The following is an 18,952-nucleotide window of genomic DNA, read 5'->3' as shown; positions in this document are numbered from 1 at the left end:
AAGTCTGGTCCTGTCAGCCATTAGTATTATTGAAAATGCATACAAACTTGTGTCAAATAATTTCTACTATTTCTACGTCATCCAATTACATATTAATCTGTAGGTCTACAGACACATTTGATTTTACATAAACTCTGATCAAGGGGAGTGATTTAAAATGATCTAATATTGCTTACATTGGTTAGCAAATGAGAAAATATAATTCCAGGGAGGCATAGTAATTTACCTTAATAAGAGATTAGCTCTTGAAGGCAGTTTAGTATTATACTTTGGCAGAAAATTAGTAATTATTTATACTTTTTTATTCTGGTTTATTGCTGATTAGAAGTAAATTGTGATTTACTAATAATCTTTCACTGGCCTGTATTTCTTACTGATTTGTATCGTCTGATTCCATGTATGCATCTTTCTTCTGAATTATAAAACTTGGCTTTAAATGAAACCACACAGGTCTTTGACATAAATTGTCCCAAATTGAAAAACATACAAACACAGAATTTATAAATATGATTTTGGCTTCAATAATTAGTTTTTATGCTTATTAAACCTGTCAGCTCAGTGTTCTACCCAAACAATCAACAATCCAAATAGATTTTTTGAATCTTTTCAATAAGTTGAAAATATTCAATAATTATTTAAATAATTCTGAAAATGGGCTGGGGTTGGCAGCTCATGCCCGTAATCCCAGCACTTTGACAGGCCAAGACAGGAGGATCTCTTGAGCCCAGGAGTCCGAGACCAACCTGGGCAACATAGCAAGACCTCGTCTCTACCAAAAAAAAAAAAAAAAAAAATTAGCCAGGCCTGGTGCCGGGTGCCTATAGTCTGCAGTTTTTAGCCATTAATACTTGGAAGATGAGGAGAGAGGATTGCTTGACCCCAAGAGTTTGGGGCTGCAGTGCGCTATGGTGGTGCCACTGCACTCCAGCCTGTGTGACAGAGCAAAGGACCTTATCTCTTAAAATAAATAAAATAAATAAATAAATAAATAAATAAATAAATATGTTTACAAATTAAAAATTCAGAAAATGTAGTTTTAGGTTTTATATAGGTTTTTATTGGAATCTACTGTTCTTTTTCTTTAAAAAAATGTGTTTAAGTGTTCTTAACTCTCTTTTTTCTTTTTTAGGTAGAGATGCAGTTTCAGAGCTTAAAAGAATTTTATGAAACCGAAATCCCTCAGAAGGAGCAGGATGATGCTAAAGCCAAGCATTGTTCTGACTCGGCTGAGAAGCAGTGGCAGCTATTTTTAAAGAAGAGTTTTATAACACAAGATCTAGGGCTTGAGTTCCTTAATTTAATAAATATGGTAAGAATGGCATTAAATGGATCACACCTTCTGCAGGGATACTCATCAAAGTCAAAATAATAATTTCAAAGGTTCAGCTGTCTATTAATCAGCAGTTCTCTCCTAGGGAGTTCTCTTTAGCTTCATTCAACCTAGACCAGTCCTGAAGCCCAACATTTAAATGCTTGCTTGGCCTAGAACTTTGGTTAGTTTATAACAGGAAGGCTGTTTTAACTATTAAGAAGAAAGTGACTGTAATCCAAATGCAACATTGTTATTATTAAATAGAGTCCTCAGAAGTCCACCCAAAAGTTCTGTGTTATTTTGAAAGCATGCAACAAGGTCCTTTCAAAATTTCTAGGGGCTAAAGACAACTTCTAAGATGAATCTTCTTTTGAAGAGTTTCTTACCATAGCAGATCTCTTTGTAGTGAAGATCCATTGCATTTAGAAAAATACCCTAACCTTTAACTGTCTTGAATTATATCTGTAAAATATTTTAGAATCCTTATATCCACCCATAACCCATATAAAATTCCCTGTAGGATACTTAAAAGATAGTCCACTTCTCTTTCAATACCTCAAGTATTTTCCTAATGAAACTGCTCATTTGATTGTTGGAGAATGCCAGCTGCTAGAAACCTTCTTTTTTTAATGTTAAATATATCTGTTTCCGTATCTACTCCTAATCATCTGTAGCTACACAGGGACAAAAAGTATTCATATTTAATTTCTCTTACACATGAAAGTCCTTCCAACATTAAAAACAGTTGCTATGTCTGAGTTTTTTCTGCAGCATTAAAAATCCTTTCCATCATTTATGAAGGAGCTTTATTTTTCTTTCTATGCTGATCCCCCCTTCTCAGGATTTTCTATGGTTTGTCAAGATCATTCATTAAATGTAACCAAAAAGTGAACTACAGGTGCAACACAGAGTACAGTAAACTGGACATTATTATTCACTAATGAGACCTACAATTATGCTAACATTTTTAGCAGTAGTTTCACTTTGCTGGTACATATTAAGCTTGTGATAGAACAAAACTCTCATAATATTTTTATTGCAGCTTCTGTCAAACCATGTCTCTCCCATATTATACCTGTGTCAGCCATTTACCTTTTTTATACAAATGTGGGCCTTTATATTTTTTCTTATTTAATTTTATTTTGTTAGTCTTCACACATGATCCCATCTTGCTAAACTAATTTGAACCTACCTAGTATATTAGCCATCTGTCTTGGGTTTAATTCTGTAGATATGACAAGTAAGCTTTCTATGGCAGCAATTAGTTCTTAAATATAAATGCCTAAAGGGCAGATTGGCATTCCAGTTCATGAAGCAGTCTATTGATTAAACCAGTTTTTAAAATAATCATGAATGCTCCCAATAGTACTTCATTCAGCCGCTACTTCATAATCTTTGTATTAAGTCTATAATGGGAGACTTTCTCAAATAAACTGCTCAAAAGAAGGTTTACCTACCTAGTATCTTATCAATGACATAGACAATTTGACATAAATCAGGTTGGCTCCTAGCGATCAAGGCATTCTTTCCAAAATGCTCACAAAGTGCTTGATAAGTAATGAACTTATTGCACTGATTTTCAGTGTGAAGCTTACCAATCTGTAAATTGTGTAGTCCATCCTTTCCTCCTTTTGAAAATCAGGGCATTTTCTGTTCTCTAATTTTATGGCTCTTCTAGTTTCTGTAGATTTTCAAAGATAACTGACAGCTGCAATTTTCTCTGTACCTGGGATGTGATTAATCTCAGTCTGGAGCCTGAATTCATTTGGAAGAGTTAGGTTCTAACTACCCTCATCTACTTGGAGCTGCAATTTTCTCTTTATCTTGTTTCAACTTTTGTTGTTTGAAGACCATTCTTGATAAACCTACTTGGAAATAAAATATGCATTAGCTGATTCTCATTTATTCAACATGATTCTTAAGCACTAAAGAAAACTTGCTAAGCAATTTGCCCATGTTCCTATGTGATCTAGGTGCTTTACTGCAAAAAAAAAGAAAAGTTATTTTTCGTTTAGAACATTTAGAACATGTATTATCTATCTATCTATCTCTGTCTCTCTCTCACACTTCTACGTGGTTCAATCAGTCTTCTCCCATCTGTTGATGATGTATGTTTCTGATTTACCTAAGGGAATTCAAATACTTTCAAACTGCGTAATTTTGTCTACCTTTTTATTACTAACTTCATTTCAGAAATTTTAGTTCTGGAATCTACAGTCGGTACTTTTATTTATTAAATTACTGATGAAATTCTGTTTCTTGTCTGCTCTTTTCCCATCTTTCCAATACTTTCTTGAACTATATTAACCCTAGGCACTTAAAGTGTTCATCAGCTAGCTACAACATTTGTACCTGGAGCTCTTTCTTTCTTTCTTTCCTTTCTTTTCTTTTTTTTTTAGATGGAGTCTCGCTCTGTCACCCAGACTGGAGTGCAGTGGTGCGATCTCAGCTCCCTTTAACCTCCAGCTCCTGGGTTCAAGCAATTCTCATGCCTCAGTCCCCCGATTAGCTGGAATTACAGGTGCCTGCCACCATGCCCGGCTAATACTTGTATTTTTAGTAGAGACGAGGTTTCACCATGTTGACCAGGCTGGTCTCAAACTCCTGACTTCAAGTGATCTGCCCACCTCTGCCTCCCAAAGTGCTGGGATTACAGGCATGAACCACAGCGCCCGGCCAATCTGGAGCTGTTTCTGTTGTCTAATTTTTCTCTTGGTTTCCAGTCCTGTAGTCCTGTTTCTTGGCAGAACTAGCGAATATTTATCAAATGCCAGACATTATGTATAAAAAATTGGAGGATCAGCAGATGGTGTTTTCTTCTTCTAGAAAGGGTCACCCTTCTTTCTCCAGGCAGGCATTGGTGGGCAATCACTCAAGCCAATCAGAAGCTGGCAGAGTTGTGTTTGCAGTGTAGTCCTGTCCCCTCAGGCTCCCAGAGTTTTGTATTGAGAGCCAAGTGCTTTCTCTGACGTCTCTGCCCCTGGCAGGTCACAAACTCCAATCTTTGTTTGGGTAGTCTGCTGAAAAACTCCACTCTGCTTTTCAGAGGCCTTTTGCTTAGGTTTTTTAATCCACTGCCCGATATACCCCTGGTATTTTGTCAACGTCTTTAGAAGATCATTGTGCTTGAAGCCCTCCAAGTGTCTGCCAAAATCTCTGGTGTTTTCTCGGCTCCAGGGAAGTCTCGATTATCAGCTTCCTGTCTGCACAGAATTGGGAAATCCCCCTGGGATGATAGGTGAGCTCACCCCTGTCAGGTTCTTCCCTCTCTGGAGTCAGCCTCTCTAGTTCCGGTTGTCCGACCAGTTCTCTGCTTCCTTCAAATGGATTCCTTCTGCATTTTACCCAGCTTTTCTAGGTATTCTAAGCAAAAGCACTGCTCTGCCACTGGCTACCCCATTCTACTCAGAAGTCCTTTGTTACTTATTTAGAATGTTTAAGATTGTACAGTCAGATTTTTGTTTTTAAAGATCTGCAACAATAACTTATTCCAAATTATATTTTGTATCTATATCTAAATAAACTTAGGTTATCATAATATTCAATGCCCACTTAGATCTCCCAGAAATAGCATATATTTTACTACTGTGCTTTGGTGTTCTTTTATCTTGATGTCATAAACACGGTCACTCTACCCTAAGGTCTTTACCACTATCATATGATAAATAAGTTCCTCCTTATTGATAAAATTAAAGCCCACGTACTAAGGAAATTTATTGGTTAGCAACATTTGGAGAGATGAAATTGTTGGTAAAGTAAGTAAAACGATTTTTTTTATTCTTATATCTTTTGGACCACTAGGCTTTTAAACAAACATTATTGTTGAATCATGGTGACTAGTTTGCTTGCTAAGAAGGCAGAGGCCAGCTGGTATATTCAGTTGAGTGTTCTGTTCTTTATTGGGTTGTCGTGGCTCATATTTTCAAGCCAGAAATAGAAAAAATTTCAGTTCATCTAAAAATCATTAAGATCAGAGAAACTGATTCAGGCCCAAATTATGGCAGACATCTTGATGAAAGTGCTAATTTATTAATTTATAATGGCCAATACCAAGAATGCTATCTGGGATACAGCCTTCCTATTATCAAGGTATCTGAAAAGCAAGACATCAGAAAACCATTCATGGTGCATGAATATAAACGAAAAATGAATGCTTTAGTGGCCTGTTTAGACTGGATTATGACAAACATTTTCCATGTCCTACACAGAAGTAAAATGAGTACTGTGTTTACTAATTAGACCTCAGGCAAATTATTCAATCTTCTTGAGTGGCCAAAATATTCGTCTGCCAAATACATGATCACTTTTCACAGATCCTACTAGCTAGACATCTACAAATCCTACTTTAGCTCTCCTTTCTCTAGACCTCACTCAGACCACCATATCCTTCTGATTAAAGTTGTCATTGGCATGCTGCAGTTTCAAAATTTATATTAAATTATATAATACATTACATTCTGGTTAATCATTTCTTTAAAATATGTGAAAGATAATTTTATTTATGATAAAAGTATAATTTGGGGTGAATTCTGCTGTAGTTGTCTAATATCTTTCATAATTTATTATGTATCATTATTAATAATGAGGGAATATAACGTTTTATTACTAGATTCTTAAGTTCATGGGGGAAATCTCATTTAGGACCTACAGATATATATTTTTTTGGAGTTGCCACTTTATAATGTGTAAAATAACATAAAAATATAAGTGTGCAACATCAATATCATTTAAAATAATTTTAAAATAAAATGGCCTATCTTTAAAATATCCTGTTAAGTATTTATGATACTGTCAATTGCTGTCATTGAGATGATAGAAATTTGAAGATTTATTGAGAAAGCCTGGCTATTAAAGTAAAAAACATAAGAATTGTTTCGCCAAATGAATGTTCCTGTGCATTTTTTAAATGTTTCTACAGAAATAAAGCACGCATAGTCTTACTCTTTGCTCTTATTATCATTTTACCTCTAATTGAATTTCCCCTTGTTTCAAACCATTGTTTAAAAGATTTCAAACCAGTCAAGCAGAACATCTGAAAGTTGGGAAGTGAAATCTTTGATTTTAGATACTGTGCTTCCGGTGTATGATGTAGTTCTGAATACAGAGATACAGACTCATTTCAGTTCTCACAAAATGGAGGAACTCGAGAAACAGCAAAGGACATTTAAAATAATTGCAATGTATACAATGGAATAGTTTAAAGAAAAAACAAAACAGTCCAGAACAATCCGTCCCCTCCTATGCCTTGATACTGATATTTTGACGTATTCCAATGAGCATGTTAAAATAAAAGATGGAGTATACTTAAAATGCGTATAGGTATACGCATTTTTTAAATCTTCACTTCAAAAATTATGGATCCCCTGCTCATTAAATAATCTTTCAAACCCCAGGAAATAACCAGACCCTAGGTAGGAATTCAAACACCCCTTGGGTCTTGAAGAACTCGGGACCGGATGTCTAAGCACAGCATGTGGTTCCGAGAGCTGAACTGTGCCTCTGCGCAGGGATTTCGGACTTGCTTGGATGTCAGAACCATCTTCGGCTTTGGTTGTGATAAAGAATTTGCCTCGTAAAATAGTTATATACAACAAAAAGCTGTATCTCTTGGGAAAGAAAAGCTATTATATGAATTATTAATTTAACAGGCAAAAGAGAACGAGATATTAGATGTGAAAAATGAAGTGTACCTCATGAAGAACACCATGGAAAACCAGAAAGCAGAACGGGAAGAACTTAGCCTCCTTCGGCTGGCATGGCAGCTTAAAGCCACGGAAAGCAAGCCTGGAAAACAGCAGTGGGCGGCATTCAAAGAGCAACTTAAAAAGGTGAGGCAAGGAACAATGGGATGTGAAAAGGAATGAAATTCCGACACAGGCTAACATGAGCGAACCTTGAAAACACTAGCTAAGTGAAATAAGCCAAACACAAAAGGATAAATATCGTGTGATTCCACTTATAAATGAGGTCCCTGTAGTCAAACTCATGGAGGCAGAAAGCAGAATGTAGGTTACCAGGGACTGGGAGAGAGAGGGAGGGAATGGGGAGCTGTTAAATGGGTACAGAGTTTCTGTTTGGGATGATAAACAAGTTCTGGAGGTGGTTGGTGGTGATGTTGATTGCACATTGATGTGAATGTATTAAATATCATGCCTCTGAACTGTACACCCCAAAATGGTAAACATGGTAACTTTTGTTATGTGTATTTTACCACAATAAAACCAAAAAAGGCAGCAGAAACCAAGGGCCTTACTTCTTGGTGGTTTAGAACCCTGAGCTCATGCCACATCCTGAGTGTTTTCATGGGGTTTGAAAAATTTGATCACACTCTGCGTCATACCTAGAATGATCAAATTTGCTGGAGATGTCAAAGAAAATGCATGTGTAACTGTCCAATATTTATTTCAGACTTCTCACAACTTAAAACTTCTTCAGGAAGCACTTATGCCTGTGTCTGCACTTGACCTCGGAGGGAGCCTCCAGTTCATTTTAGATCTACGACAAAAATGGAATGACATGAAGCCTCAGTTCCAGGTGAAGAAATATATTGCTGGATTTGGGTGAATGGAAAAAATACTTAAAACTGTTTGGTTGCAGTTTACCTGATTAATTGTAACAGGCTGGTGAATTTCTATTTTTTTAAACAAAAGTATTGCTTGTCTAAAAATCCACTGTAGAGACATTTTTCTTACTTTTTTCCTGCATTCTTTTGAATTTGATGATATACCAGCATTAGGGCTATACAATGTCCTAAATAGATTTTTATATTAGATTTTTAAAATTCACATGGCTAATTAAACTAGTAATATATTTATCCTATATTTTCACTCTAATTCTTTTCCTTGGGAGTGCAGAGGTGTTTTAAATTGAGACATCTCAGAACAAGGATGGGCAACCTCGGACCCAGAGGCTCTGCTGCCCTGGGTCCCTGAGGTGACCACTGTTATGTCACTGTCCTCACCCACCAGCACCCCAGGCACGTACCATCACCCCAGGAATTTTGCTGTGCCCTCCACTCCACCTTTCAGGATATGAGCAATAAAACCATGAGTCATGTTCCTGACCCTGACTGCTTAACACAGTCCCTATTTCCCCACCTCCTGCCTCTCCAAAATGTGACACAACCGCCAAAAATTGCCACCTGCTAGTCACATTATACTTCTGCCTGGATTCTTATGCTTTGCTGCAAAATTTAGATACCTGTGTTTCTAGCTGTCACTGCTTCATAAATGTGGGCTTCAAAGAATCCCAGAATCAGAATATTGAAGATTCCTTTAGGGAATATCTAATTGTAGGTTCCTTTAAGACAAAAACCGATGTAAGTATAACCACCGCACCTGCTACACAGAAACACACCCACCATTGTAATCCACAGCAAACTCTTATAAAACTCTCAGCAAATGTGACTGGCCTATATTAGGCTCTTTAATACACCCTGCGTTATCTGCTTATATGCATTTTGTTTGTGTGCACGTTTGCATGTACGTGTAAGTTCCTCTAAATCAGGACCATTGTCACACCTCTTTAGCCCTGTCACTGTGATGCACATATATTTAATGCCCAAATGCTTGAACTTGAAGACCCTTTTTAGGTCACTCTTCTGAAAATTATCTCCTTAGTCTAAATCATTTCCATTACTTTTACCTTTCATACAAAAGATCTACACTTGAAATTATAGTAGCATTCTCTATCTTTCTCTCACTGTCTTTTTTTTTTTTTTTTTTTTTTTGAGACAGAGTCTTACTCTGTTGCCCAGGCTGGAGTGCAGTAGCACAATTTTATCTTGCTGCAGCCTCCGCCTCCCAGGTTCAAGTGATTCTCGTGTCTCAGCCTCTGGGGTAGCTGGGATTACAGGTGTGTGCCACCACGCCCAGCTAATTTTTGTATTTTTGGTAGAGACAGGGTTCTGCCATGTTGGCCAGGCTGGTCTTGAACTCCTGCCTTCAGGTGGTCCACCCTCCTTGGCCTCCCAAAGTGCTGGGATTACAGGCGTGAGCCACCATGCCCAGCCTATAGTAGCATTCTCTTTAAAGTATGCCCCTTTTGCAAATTCTATTCCAGAATCTGGATTATCTGAGCAATGCTGGGTGAAAGGCAAGGCAGTTTATCCCTCCCTACATGTGATGGCTATTTGTGGATCATGGGATGACCGCTTTTGAAGCAGTCTATCTACTATGCTGTTCAGCTGGTGGTTCATTCTGATCATTCTTTTATCACAGAGCACAAGTTATTCCCCTGATATATTTTTACACCCATCTTCTCATGGTGTTTTTACCATACCACCTGATTCTAGTCTGTATTAAATATCAGAGATAATCATGGGGCTGCATAAAATATCTAAAATACATTTACTTAACAGATGAATAGAATATTTGGTATGCCATAGAAATGTATGACTTTGTTTTTCCACCTAGCTTTGAAACCTTTGTTGCATTGCTCATGCTATTTTTTTTTGTAAATTTCTCAGGTGAGTATAGAAAAACATATCTCTATCATCCAGCACAATGCCCAAATATTTTGGAGGGTGGGGGCATTCATAATAAGTATTTGTTAACAAATGAAAGAGTGATTCATTGTTTAGACCTTTATATTGTCAGTTGTAAAGTAAAAAAGTTCTTTAATAGCAAGATTTTTTTATTGCTTTCAATGTTTTAGCAATTGAATGATGAGGTTCAGTACATTATGAAAGAATCAGAGGAGTTAACTGGCAGAGGAGCCCCTGTAAAAGAAAAGTCTCAACAACTGAAGGACCTTATTCACTTCCATCAAAAACAGAAAGAGAGAATCCAGGATTACGAGGATATCCTGTACAAGGTGGTCCAGTTCCATCAAGTCAAGGAAGAGGTAAGGCTTAGAAGGGATGTCTGAAAAATCCTGAGTTTTAAACTATGCAATTAAAAATGAATTATTATATAATAAATAAAGGCCAAATTGTGTCTTCTAGTATCAGAAGTTTACACAATCTGGCCCCTATCTTTTCTCTCACTATGTTCCTATTCTTCCTTTTGTTCCAGCCAAACTGAGCTCTTTGTCCCTCAGAGATGATGCACACATCCCTAACTCCAACCCTTGACTCTCAGGCTGCCATTATTTGACAAGTCTGTCTTTCTCCTCCCTCTTATCTAAATCCTATACCTCCTTCCAACAATCCTACCTCACTTGGAATGATTTCTCTCTCTTCAAAAATCCTACAGCTCATTGTGTATTCCACATATCTTGCATTTTACTATCTTGATTCTTAATTACTTTTTGATAAGCATAGCTTCCCGCCCACCCCCTCTCCCCCGCCCCAATTCAATTCTAGGCTCTTTGAGGGCGAAAACCAAGTTAGATTTTTTTTTTTTTTTTTTTTGCACTTCAAGTACCTGACATCATGGAGTGCTATTTGTTGGTGGCATTTTTACAAAAACTTCATAGTTATGGTCTCTATTAACATAAGATGGAGGAATATTCGTTAATATCCCTTTAAAATAGCCTCTAAATTTACTCAGAGCACAGACCTAGATCTTGCTAAGGTTTTGGGTCATGACCAAAAAGACTGTTTCCTTCTTTAATGGAACTGACAACGTTAGCAGTTCAATTTTACCACCATTGGATTTGCAGCATTCTAACATTTATTTGGCTAATGCCAACAGTTTAAAGATGGGCTTGGCAGCATTTCGACCAGCTAGCAAAATGTGCTATAGAAATTAGGCTTAAAAAAAAATTTGTCTTCATATAAAACCCAGGTTAATTGTTAATGCCCTAAATTGTAGCTGGGACGTCTCATCAAATCAAGAGAGCTGGAGTTTGTAGAGCAGCCGAAGGAACTGGGTGATGCCCATGATGTGCAGATTCACCTCCGGTGCTCTCAGGAAAAGCAAGCCCGTGTAGACCATCTCCACAGACTGGCCCTTTCCTTAGGAGTCGACATCATCTCATCAGTGCAGCGGCCTGTAAGCATCTAATAACACTATCATTTAGACTCAGTTCTAGCTGGGGCTTGGGCTAGCATATGAAAGAAACCAGGCAGATTGCTTAGTATATGTTAAATTTAAAAATAAACTAAACCATTGGGGTAGTTATTTGTGATTCATTTCTACCCTCTGACAAAAGAAAAAATTTTAAGTAGAAAATCTGAATGTAAAAGTCTTGTTGAATACCTCTATTTTCATGAAAAAAAATTTTTAAAGAGTATTTATATAGTAGATCTGTATAGTCCAGTGTGGCAGTCACTTTTTTGCCTTTGATGTGTGCCTAATGCAACTAAAAAACTAAAGTTTTAATTTTATTTAACTTGCATTAATTTAAATATAAATTTAAAAATTGATCTTCAGTATAGTTATGGGACAACTTTTAAGTATGTTGGGAGCAATTTGGGTATGGGAATCAACTTTCGAAACTGTAAATTTAAAAAATTAAAATACAGATCTAATATTTCTGATCGAAATTTAGCAACAAATGAGGAAGCTCAAAGTATGAAATACACACCAGATTTCAAAGAGGTATTATGAAAAGCAATCACATTAGTATTTTTTATATTACTTACATGTTAAAATGGTGATATTTGGACATAGTTGGTTATTGTATTATAAAAATTAATTTTGCTCTATCTTTTTATTTGATTTTTTGATATGACTACTAGACAATTTTAAATTGTTTGTGTGGTTCACATTTTGTTGGCCAGTGCTGTTTTAGCATTGCAGATCTGGAAGACCATCTAGATCTTAGAGTTCATCCAGGCCAGAGCTATCATTTTATGGATGAAGAATTTGAGGCAAACAGAAATTCCCACCTTACCCATAAAAGCCCAGAATGGAGGAGTCCAAGCCTCCTGATTCTAGCCAGGGCTGGTTGGATTTGTTTGATGCCACTGTCGGACTTCAAAAGAGAGGCCTAAAAGAGAAGGAAATATTCCCAGATCAAATTTTCATCAATAATACACTGGACATTGATTCTTTAAAAAAATTCCTTCTTTAGCCTGGGCACATTGGCTAATGCCTGTAATCCCAGCACTTTAGGAGGCCGAGAAGTTCAAGTCCAGCCTGGCCAACATGGCAAAACTCCGTCTCTACTAAAAATACAACAATTAGCCAGGCGTGGTATTACGTGCCTGTAATCCCAATTACTTGGGAGGCTGAGGCAGAAGAATCGCTTGAACCCAGGAGGCGGAGGTTGCAGTGAGTTGAGATCCAGCCATTGCACTCCAGCCTGGGCGACAGAGTAAATAAGACTCCATCTCAAAAAAACAAAACAAAACAAAAAAACAGAAACAACAACAACAACAAAACAAAACAAAAAAATCCTTTTCCAGATTTCTAACTTGAGGGGAGAAAAGATTATGTTTACTCTAACAATAGGTATAACATTAATAAAATCATAATGGCCCATTTTATTTTAAAATACATGTAAGATATCCACTAAACTATATGAAATGCAGTGAATCTAAAATATGTATTTTTTAAACTGAAAGATATAGAAATACAAATTATCTGTTGTTGTTAATGGAATTGGTTTTTTGCCAGGAAAGAGCTTTCTTTTTAAAGAGTTTATTTTATTAGTACATTTATTTTTAAAAGAAAAAGAAAGCAAGAAGTCTCACTTTGTGCAAATAATGTAAATTGTTCTCCAATCCTCTTCTGGCCTTGGCCCTGGCAGCCCCACTGTGCTGAGCTGAGATTGGAGCACTTGCATAATGAACCTGAGGTTAGGCTCAAGTTGACAGGAAAATTATAGTGCAGAAATCAAATGTTTCTAATGCATATTTTATGCCTTTTGAAGTAAAAATTATACCCTATAATGAATGGCGTCTCTGAGGAGTTGGGTGTGATGAGCGAATCTTCAACACTAGAGATTTGAGCTGGGAAATGTCTTTTCCATAATGTTGGGTGACTGGCTTCTTTCTGAAATAATTATGTTCAAATATGTTTAAGGTAAAATAAATCAGGAACCTATTTCTTTTTTTAAAAAGTGTCATTTATGAGTTTCATAATTCAGGTAAATAGCCTACTCGTCTTATTGCTGTTTCGTCCTTTCTCTCTGTTACCACCATTTGTCTCTTTTAGCACTGCTCTAATGTTTCTGCAAAGAACCTACAGCAGCAGCTGGAGCTCCTTGAGGAGGACAGCATGAAGTGGCGTGCCAAAGCTGAGGAGTATGGACGGACCCTGTCCCGTAGTGTGGAGTACTGCGCCATGAGAGACGAGATAAATGAGGTGGGTGTGGGAGGGGTGAGAACTGGCACATTGCCAAAAAGCTGTTTGAACCTAAAGCATGTGTCTAAATGTCCACATTTGTGCACACTCCCACACACATGCAAACACACAATGAATCAGGAGACTTTCTTCTCACTTATTTCTTTTAATCCACTGAGCAGTGACCTCAGGGATCTGGAAGTTTGAGTAAACTTCAAGCTCTCAAATTTGTTGAAGTCAGTATGATGTCAATGCATAGAAAAACCTATAATTCAGTAGTACAGTTTTTTTGGTTGCTTTTGTTTATTTGTTTTTTGCTTCCCCCTTCTCCCTCAAACCTGTATAGCAGTCATTTGCTTCAGTGGATACAGCTTTTTCAGGACCCAGAGGAAGGGGTGACATTGACCAGTTCGTTGCAGCCAACTCCAGCCTGCTGAAATTCTATTTAAGGGTCATTGACTCATGGTGAATCAATGGTGCCAGGGGCCAGGGAGCAGACACTTTGCTTTGGAGGCTACGAAGTATTAGCACTGAGGTCAAGTGGCTGGTTTCATATTTATTCAAACTGACTGGCTTTTCTGGCAAAACAACTCTTCAAGAAAAAAGAAATAACAGATCAAAGTGATCTTCTACATCCATGCACCTCCACATGCTTAATTCTATCTCCTCCCCCTCAACTGTAACAAATCCACAACACCTAGATATTCACTAAATCACAACCACCACCTGCTCCTAGCTAAGCTTTCCATTGAAAGGCTTACTTGTTCTGGGAGAAAACAACTCACAGATTGGGATAGCAATGGTTCTCATTCTTGACTGGGAAGTGATAGCAGAACACAAGGGTACACATAATTCTAGATTTATCTCCATTTAGAGCAAAATGTTTCTGAGCCCATTAAGCCATAAGTCCATTGGGAAAGAAGGTGGTGGAAAAGGAGGCAGTAAACTTTCTTCACTTTCTGTTTATGCCCAGTTTACATCAACTAGACCCAGCAAGTATCAAATATTATCCAACAACATTAAAGCACAGAAATAAGTATAAATAACTCAACTTTAATGGTGGCCTGGCTCTGAAGTGGCCGTTCCTGTAGGCCACACATTTACAGACCACAGGCAGGTGCAGGATGGACCATGGCTGGAAGGAAAACCAGAGGGGAAGAGAGCAAGAGTGGCTACTTGGATTCTGTTAAACAGGAGGGAAGCAGGAACTGACATCTGATAATGATGTTCATTTCAGCGGTGTGCTACAGGACTGTAGAGTTTCAGCTCATAATTTGTGTTCCAGGGAGTTACTTTTGGCTAGAGAGGCGTCGACTCTTCGGGGTTGAACCGGTAGTGTAATTTGCCCTCTACTTGATAGAATGGCCACTTCCGGTTCCTATGCTGCTGCTTACACGTCAATCACATCTTGTTAAGGAAAACCGTCAGAGCACGTTGGTCTCCCCAAGGCTACAAAATGTGGATTCATGGTTATGGAAGCTATTCCTTTACAGTCTTTCCTTAAAGTGATCTTCTTTATTCCTCTTTCTCTCTTCTTTCCTCCCCTCCCCCTTTCTTCCCGTTTTCCCTCCTTCTCTTCCTCCTCCTCTACTTCTATTTGTAAACCTTTGTCTTGCCAAAATCCTCCCTCTTTGCAGTGATGGTTGGGCTCTACATTTGCTAAAGCGCAAGTGGAGCAGGCTGAGGGGTTTTCCCAGCCCCCTCTGGCTCCGTTTCTAGCTCCCTGTAGAGCTGTGACATTTATGAAGCTGGGTCTCCCTGTTCAGGCCCTTCCAGCAGGAATTCTATTTATAGGGACTGCCTCATGATGAGACTGTGTTTGGAGCCAGCCGGCCGGGATGACAAATTTCCCTTCCTGTCAATAGTAGGTACGCCCCAGGATTGTCTGTACCGTGTCAGGAATGAGCAGCCAGATACATGCGGGTTTGATTTAGGAATCAGGTATCACTTTAGCATGCTCTTACATTTTAAGAGAGATATTCTTCCCATTTGCTTCCACTACTGATCCAGTTAATCTTTCATGTAACTTACAATTTCACATTTAAATGACCTCTGAGAACTTTGAGTCTTTGTCACTTCTCCTTTTTTGTGGACATGTAGTGCGTGTGCACACCCTGGACTTTCCCACCACAGGCCTAAGGGAAAATAATCAGAAGGAATATTTTCCGTGTCCCTTAGGAAAATAAAAATATGTGTGTTCCAGTTTATATTGTGAACAGCAGAGCCCAAACAGATGGCAGTTTCCACAGTGGTAATAATATTTGCTATCTAGACATTATTATCGTTGTTATCATTATTAGTCTTTGGGTATAGCTGCTTAAAACTTACGTAAAATTAAATATGATACGTTATACTGATTTTTTTCTGCATAAACAATTAAAATTAGATAACATGCCAGAGGACTAAACCAAGTATAGCATTTATGTTTAAAGTTGATTTTTAAACACAGTTTCACTTTCAATGTGCTTAAAGTACTGTTAGAAAGTTCACAGACTCTGACTTGCAATGGATTTTTGAGAATGTCCAGTTCAGTATGTTCATTTTTCAGATGGGAAAACTGAGGAGCATATGACTTTCATGTTATGAATATGCTACAGGACAACAGAGTTTCAGCTCAGGGTGTTCCAGGGGATCAACTTCAGGCCACAGACTCATTTGTTGGGCACCAACATGCTTATGATTTGTTAAACTCAGAATTCACCATTTACATAATATTTCAGTGCCATTCAACCACTGCATGGTCTGATGTTAAATATCTTCTTTTTTTTATGCTTTCCTCTTCTATCCCTATTTTCTGGTATATCTAAGATGTTTGTATGATCTGATATAATAGTACAGTTCATTTGGTTATTTCAAAAAAATTTCTTTCTTGACTGTGCTGTAGCTAACTTACATGGTCTTAACTTCACTGAAAGCCCTTAGAAAAGAACTCAATACCTCAAGGCAAAATAAAGTGTTCTAAATGTAATTTTTAAAAATGTAATGTGATGTGCCTTAGAGACAACGAATGATAGTTTGTGCTTTATCTTTGAGAAAAAACCATTTTTTTCCAATTTCATATGAAGACATAGGAAATTGTAGAACCTTATTTTCTTCATGTCTACCTACTAGAAAAATAATCTTCAGACTGCCAGACTTTGTGCTTTTTCCTACCCATTTCACACAAAGATACATTTGTATGCTTGAATGTTGAATATAATTCATATTTTTTCTTGCCTGACTATATAAATAAGTTGTTCATACACAAAGCACAGTAGACATATTCTCTGCCATATTACATGACACAGAAACATCATTCTTTACACATCCACATTTAGAAATGTAATAAGTAAATATCAAGCATGCTTTCTTCTTTGAACCTGACCAAAAACAGTACCTTTACATTTACATGATGTTAATGGAAATTTGTAACTCGAGGCTCATATTACAGATCACAATTACTTTGCTGAAAAGAATAGTAATGACAGAATCGGGTTGGTATCCGTGTTCTCAAGTTTTCCACATAGAACTTCCAGATAATTATTTACCTTACCCTGAAATTTTCCACTGTAGCAACATCTTACCCATCAGGAATTATGCAGAAAAGGACTTAGTATATATGTTCCATGTATCGGTCACATGTTCTAATGGCACAAATTCTTTTTTCAATTCGAATAAATCAGTCAAATGAGTTACAGGGATACAAGTCGATTAGTAGCAGTAAATTAGAATAGAGGAATAGTGTTGCTATAGACACATACGCAATAAAATTAAAACCGTCTGACATTGTATAGTGCTTTGCCACTGACAAAATGACCATGGACTGCTACCCACTGGCAGGAAAGGAAGCAGAGAAAGAGTTTGCACAGACGGCAAAACACCCAACAGGGCAGCACAATGGTATAGTGCAGACAATAATTATTTTTCAAGATTTATAACCTGAATTCATTATTTTCTTTAAAAAGGACTCCATTATATTCACTCAACGAATGTGTTAATGTGGCTTCTGTGTACCAAGCCATAAGAATACAAATAGCAGTGGCTCACACCTGTGTTTCCTGCACTTTGGGATGCCAAGGTAGGAGGATTGCTGGAGCCCAGGAGTTCCAGTCCAGCCTAGGCAAGATGGTGAGACCCTGCCTCTACAAAAAAAACTTTTTTTTTTTTTTTTTTGAGACTGAGTCTCACTCTGTCGCCCAGGCTGGAGTGCAATGGTACGATCTTGGCTGACTGCAACCTCTGCCTCCTGGGTTCAAGCAATTTTCCTGCCTCAGCCTCCCGAGTAGTTGTGATTACAGGCATGCACCACCATGCCCAGCTAATTTTCGTATTTTTAGTGGGGATGGGGTTTCACCATGTTGGCCAGGCTGGTCTTGAACTCCTGACCTCTGGTGACCCACCTGCCTCAGCCTCCCTAAGTGCTGGGATTACAGGCGTGAGCCACTGTGCCCGGCCCTACAAAAAATTTTTAAAAATTAGCCGAGCATGGTGATGTGTGCCTGTAGTCTCAATTACTTGAGATGCTGAGGCAGGGGGATCCCATGTGCCCATGAGTTTGAGGCTACAGTGAGCTGTGATCACGTCACTGCACTCTAGCCTGGACAAGAGAGTGAGACTCTATTGAAAAGAAAAAAAAAAAAGCACAAACATCCTCAGGAAACTTCGAGTCTAGATAGCATTAAAACCCATGGGACTTCACAGTCACAGCCATTCCTCTAGTGGGCCCCATCCTGGGTCCATCTGGATGGTATGTGTAAGAGGATAAGAAAGATTACAATTTGCTCTAAAAGCATCCATTCCATAAGGTTAAAATGTTAACATTTTGGTGTTTAACATCTGCAAAATGACTGTGGAAACTTCCTGAACAATAAACAGAGCTGAAGTTTAAAATTATGGTTATCATGTTCAGAAAACAAAACTTAACATATTATGAAGACACAAAACATGCAAAATGGATAAAATATGTATTACTGATGCCTGTTGCTACCTACAATTTAAGACAGAGCAATTGTCACGTCTTCCCAAGTTATCCCACTTTCAGCCGCTAGCGGCTGGCCTCAAGCACAAGAAGACAAGGGAGTGGTTGCCAAATGGAAGGAGGCCAAAAAGTCTTGTCCTGAAATCTCTCTGGTACTAAGTCTGAATATTCTACAATTGGGATGCCAAGGTAGGAGGATTGCTGGAGCCCAGGAGTTCAAGTCCAGCCTGGGCAAGATGGTGAGACCCTGCCTCTACCAAAAAAAAAAAAAAAAAAAAAAAAAAAAAGTGTTGTTTTTTTTTTTGAGTCTCGCTCTGTTGCCCTGGCTGGAGTGCAATGGTGCAATCTTGGCTCACTGCAACATCTGCCTCCCGGGTTCAAGCAATTCTCCTGCCTCAGCCTCCTGAGTAGCTGTGATTACAGGCATGCACCACCATGCCCAGCTGATTTTTGTATTTTTAGTAGAGGTGGGGTTTCACCATGTTGGCCAGGCTGGTCTTGAACTCCTGA

General features: G+C 38.0%; 1 protein-coding gene across 20 annotated transcripts in view, besides 2 other annotated features; it reads left to right on the top strand.

Annotated features, from left to right (window-relative positions):
* CCDC141 (coiled-coil domain containing 141) overlaps nt 1–18,952 on the top strand; it is a 235,160-nt gene that overhangs the window by 170,865 nt on the left and 45,343 nt on the right. For 17 of the 20 annotated variants that reach the window (XM_047443994.1, XM_047443993.1, XM_047443996.1 and 14 more), the window contains exons 12-17: nt 1,130–1,309; nt 6,961–7,140; nt 7,721–7,846; nt 9,968–10,156; nt 11,068–11,247; nt 13,357–13,506. In XM_047443994.1, coding sequence (XP_047299950.1) covers nt 1,130–1,309; nt 6,961–7,140; nt 7,721–7,846; nt 9,968–10,156; nt 11,068–11,247; nt 13,357–13,506 — 1,005 coding nt within the window. Of the gene's footprint in view, nt 1–1,129; nt 6,253–6,960; nt 7,141–7,720; nt 7,847–9,967; nt 10,157–11,067; nt 11,248–13,356; nt 13,507–18,952 lie in introns of those variants that run through there. The other 3 variants (XM_047443998.1, XM_047443991.1, NM_001316745.2) reach the window with 2 other exon arrangements.
* Nucleotides 3,806–5,005: an enhancer, noted in NCBI's record as "MED14-independent group 3 enhancer chr2:179738995-179740194 (GRCh37/hg19 assembly coordinates)". NCBI's record gives its function as "activates an origin of replication core promoter dependent on BRD2, BRD4, P300/CBP and CDK7 cofactors, and independent of MED14, by STARR-seq in HCT116 cells {active_cell/tissue: HCT116}" and the evidence as "EXISTENCE:reporter gene assay evidence [ECO:0000049][PMID:35650434]".
* Nucleotides 7,192–8,391: an enhancer, noted in NCBI's record as "MED14-independent group 3 enhancer chr2:179735609-179736808 (GRCh37/hg19 assembly coordinates)". NCBI's record gives its function as "activates an origin of replication core promoter dependent on BRD2, BRD4, P300/CBP and CDK7 cofactors, and independent of MED14, by STARR-seq in HCT116 cells {active_cell/tissue: HCT116}" and the evidence as "EXISTENCE:reporter gene assay evidence [ECO:0000049][PMID:35650434]".

This window comes from Homo sapiens, chromosome 2 (genome assembly GCF_000001405.40).
Source record: "Homo sapiens chromosome 2, GRCh38.p14 Primary Assembly".
Taxonomy (NCBI): domain Eukaryota; kingdom Metazoa; phylum Chordata; class Mammalia; order Primates; family Hominidae; genus Homo; species Homo sapiens.
Note: the sequence above shows the minus strand (reverse complement) of the source record. Positions and strands in the feature narration are given on the sequence as shown.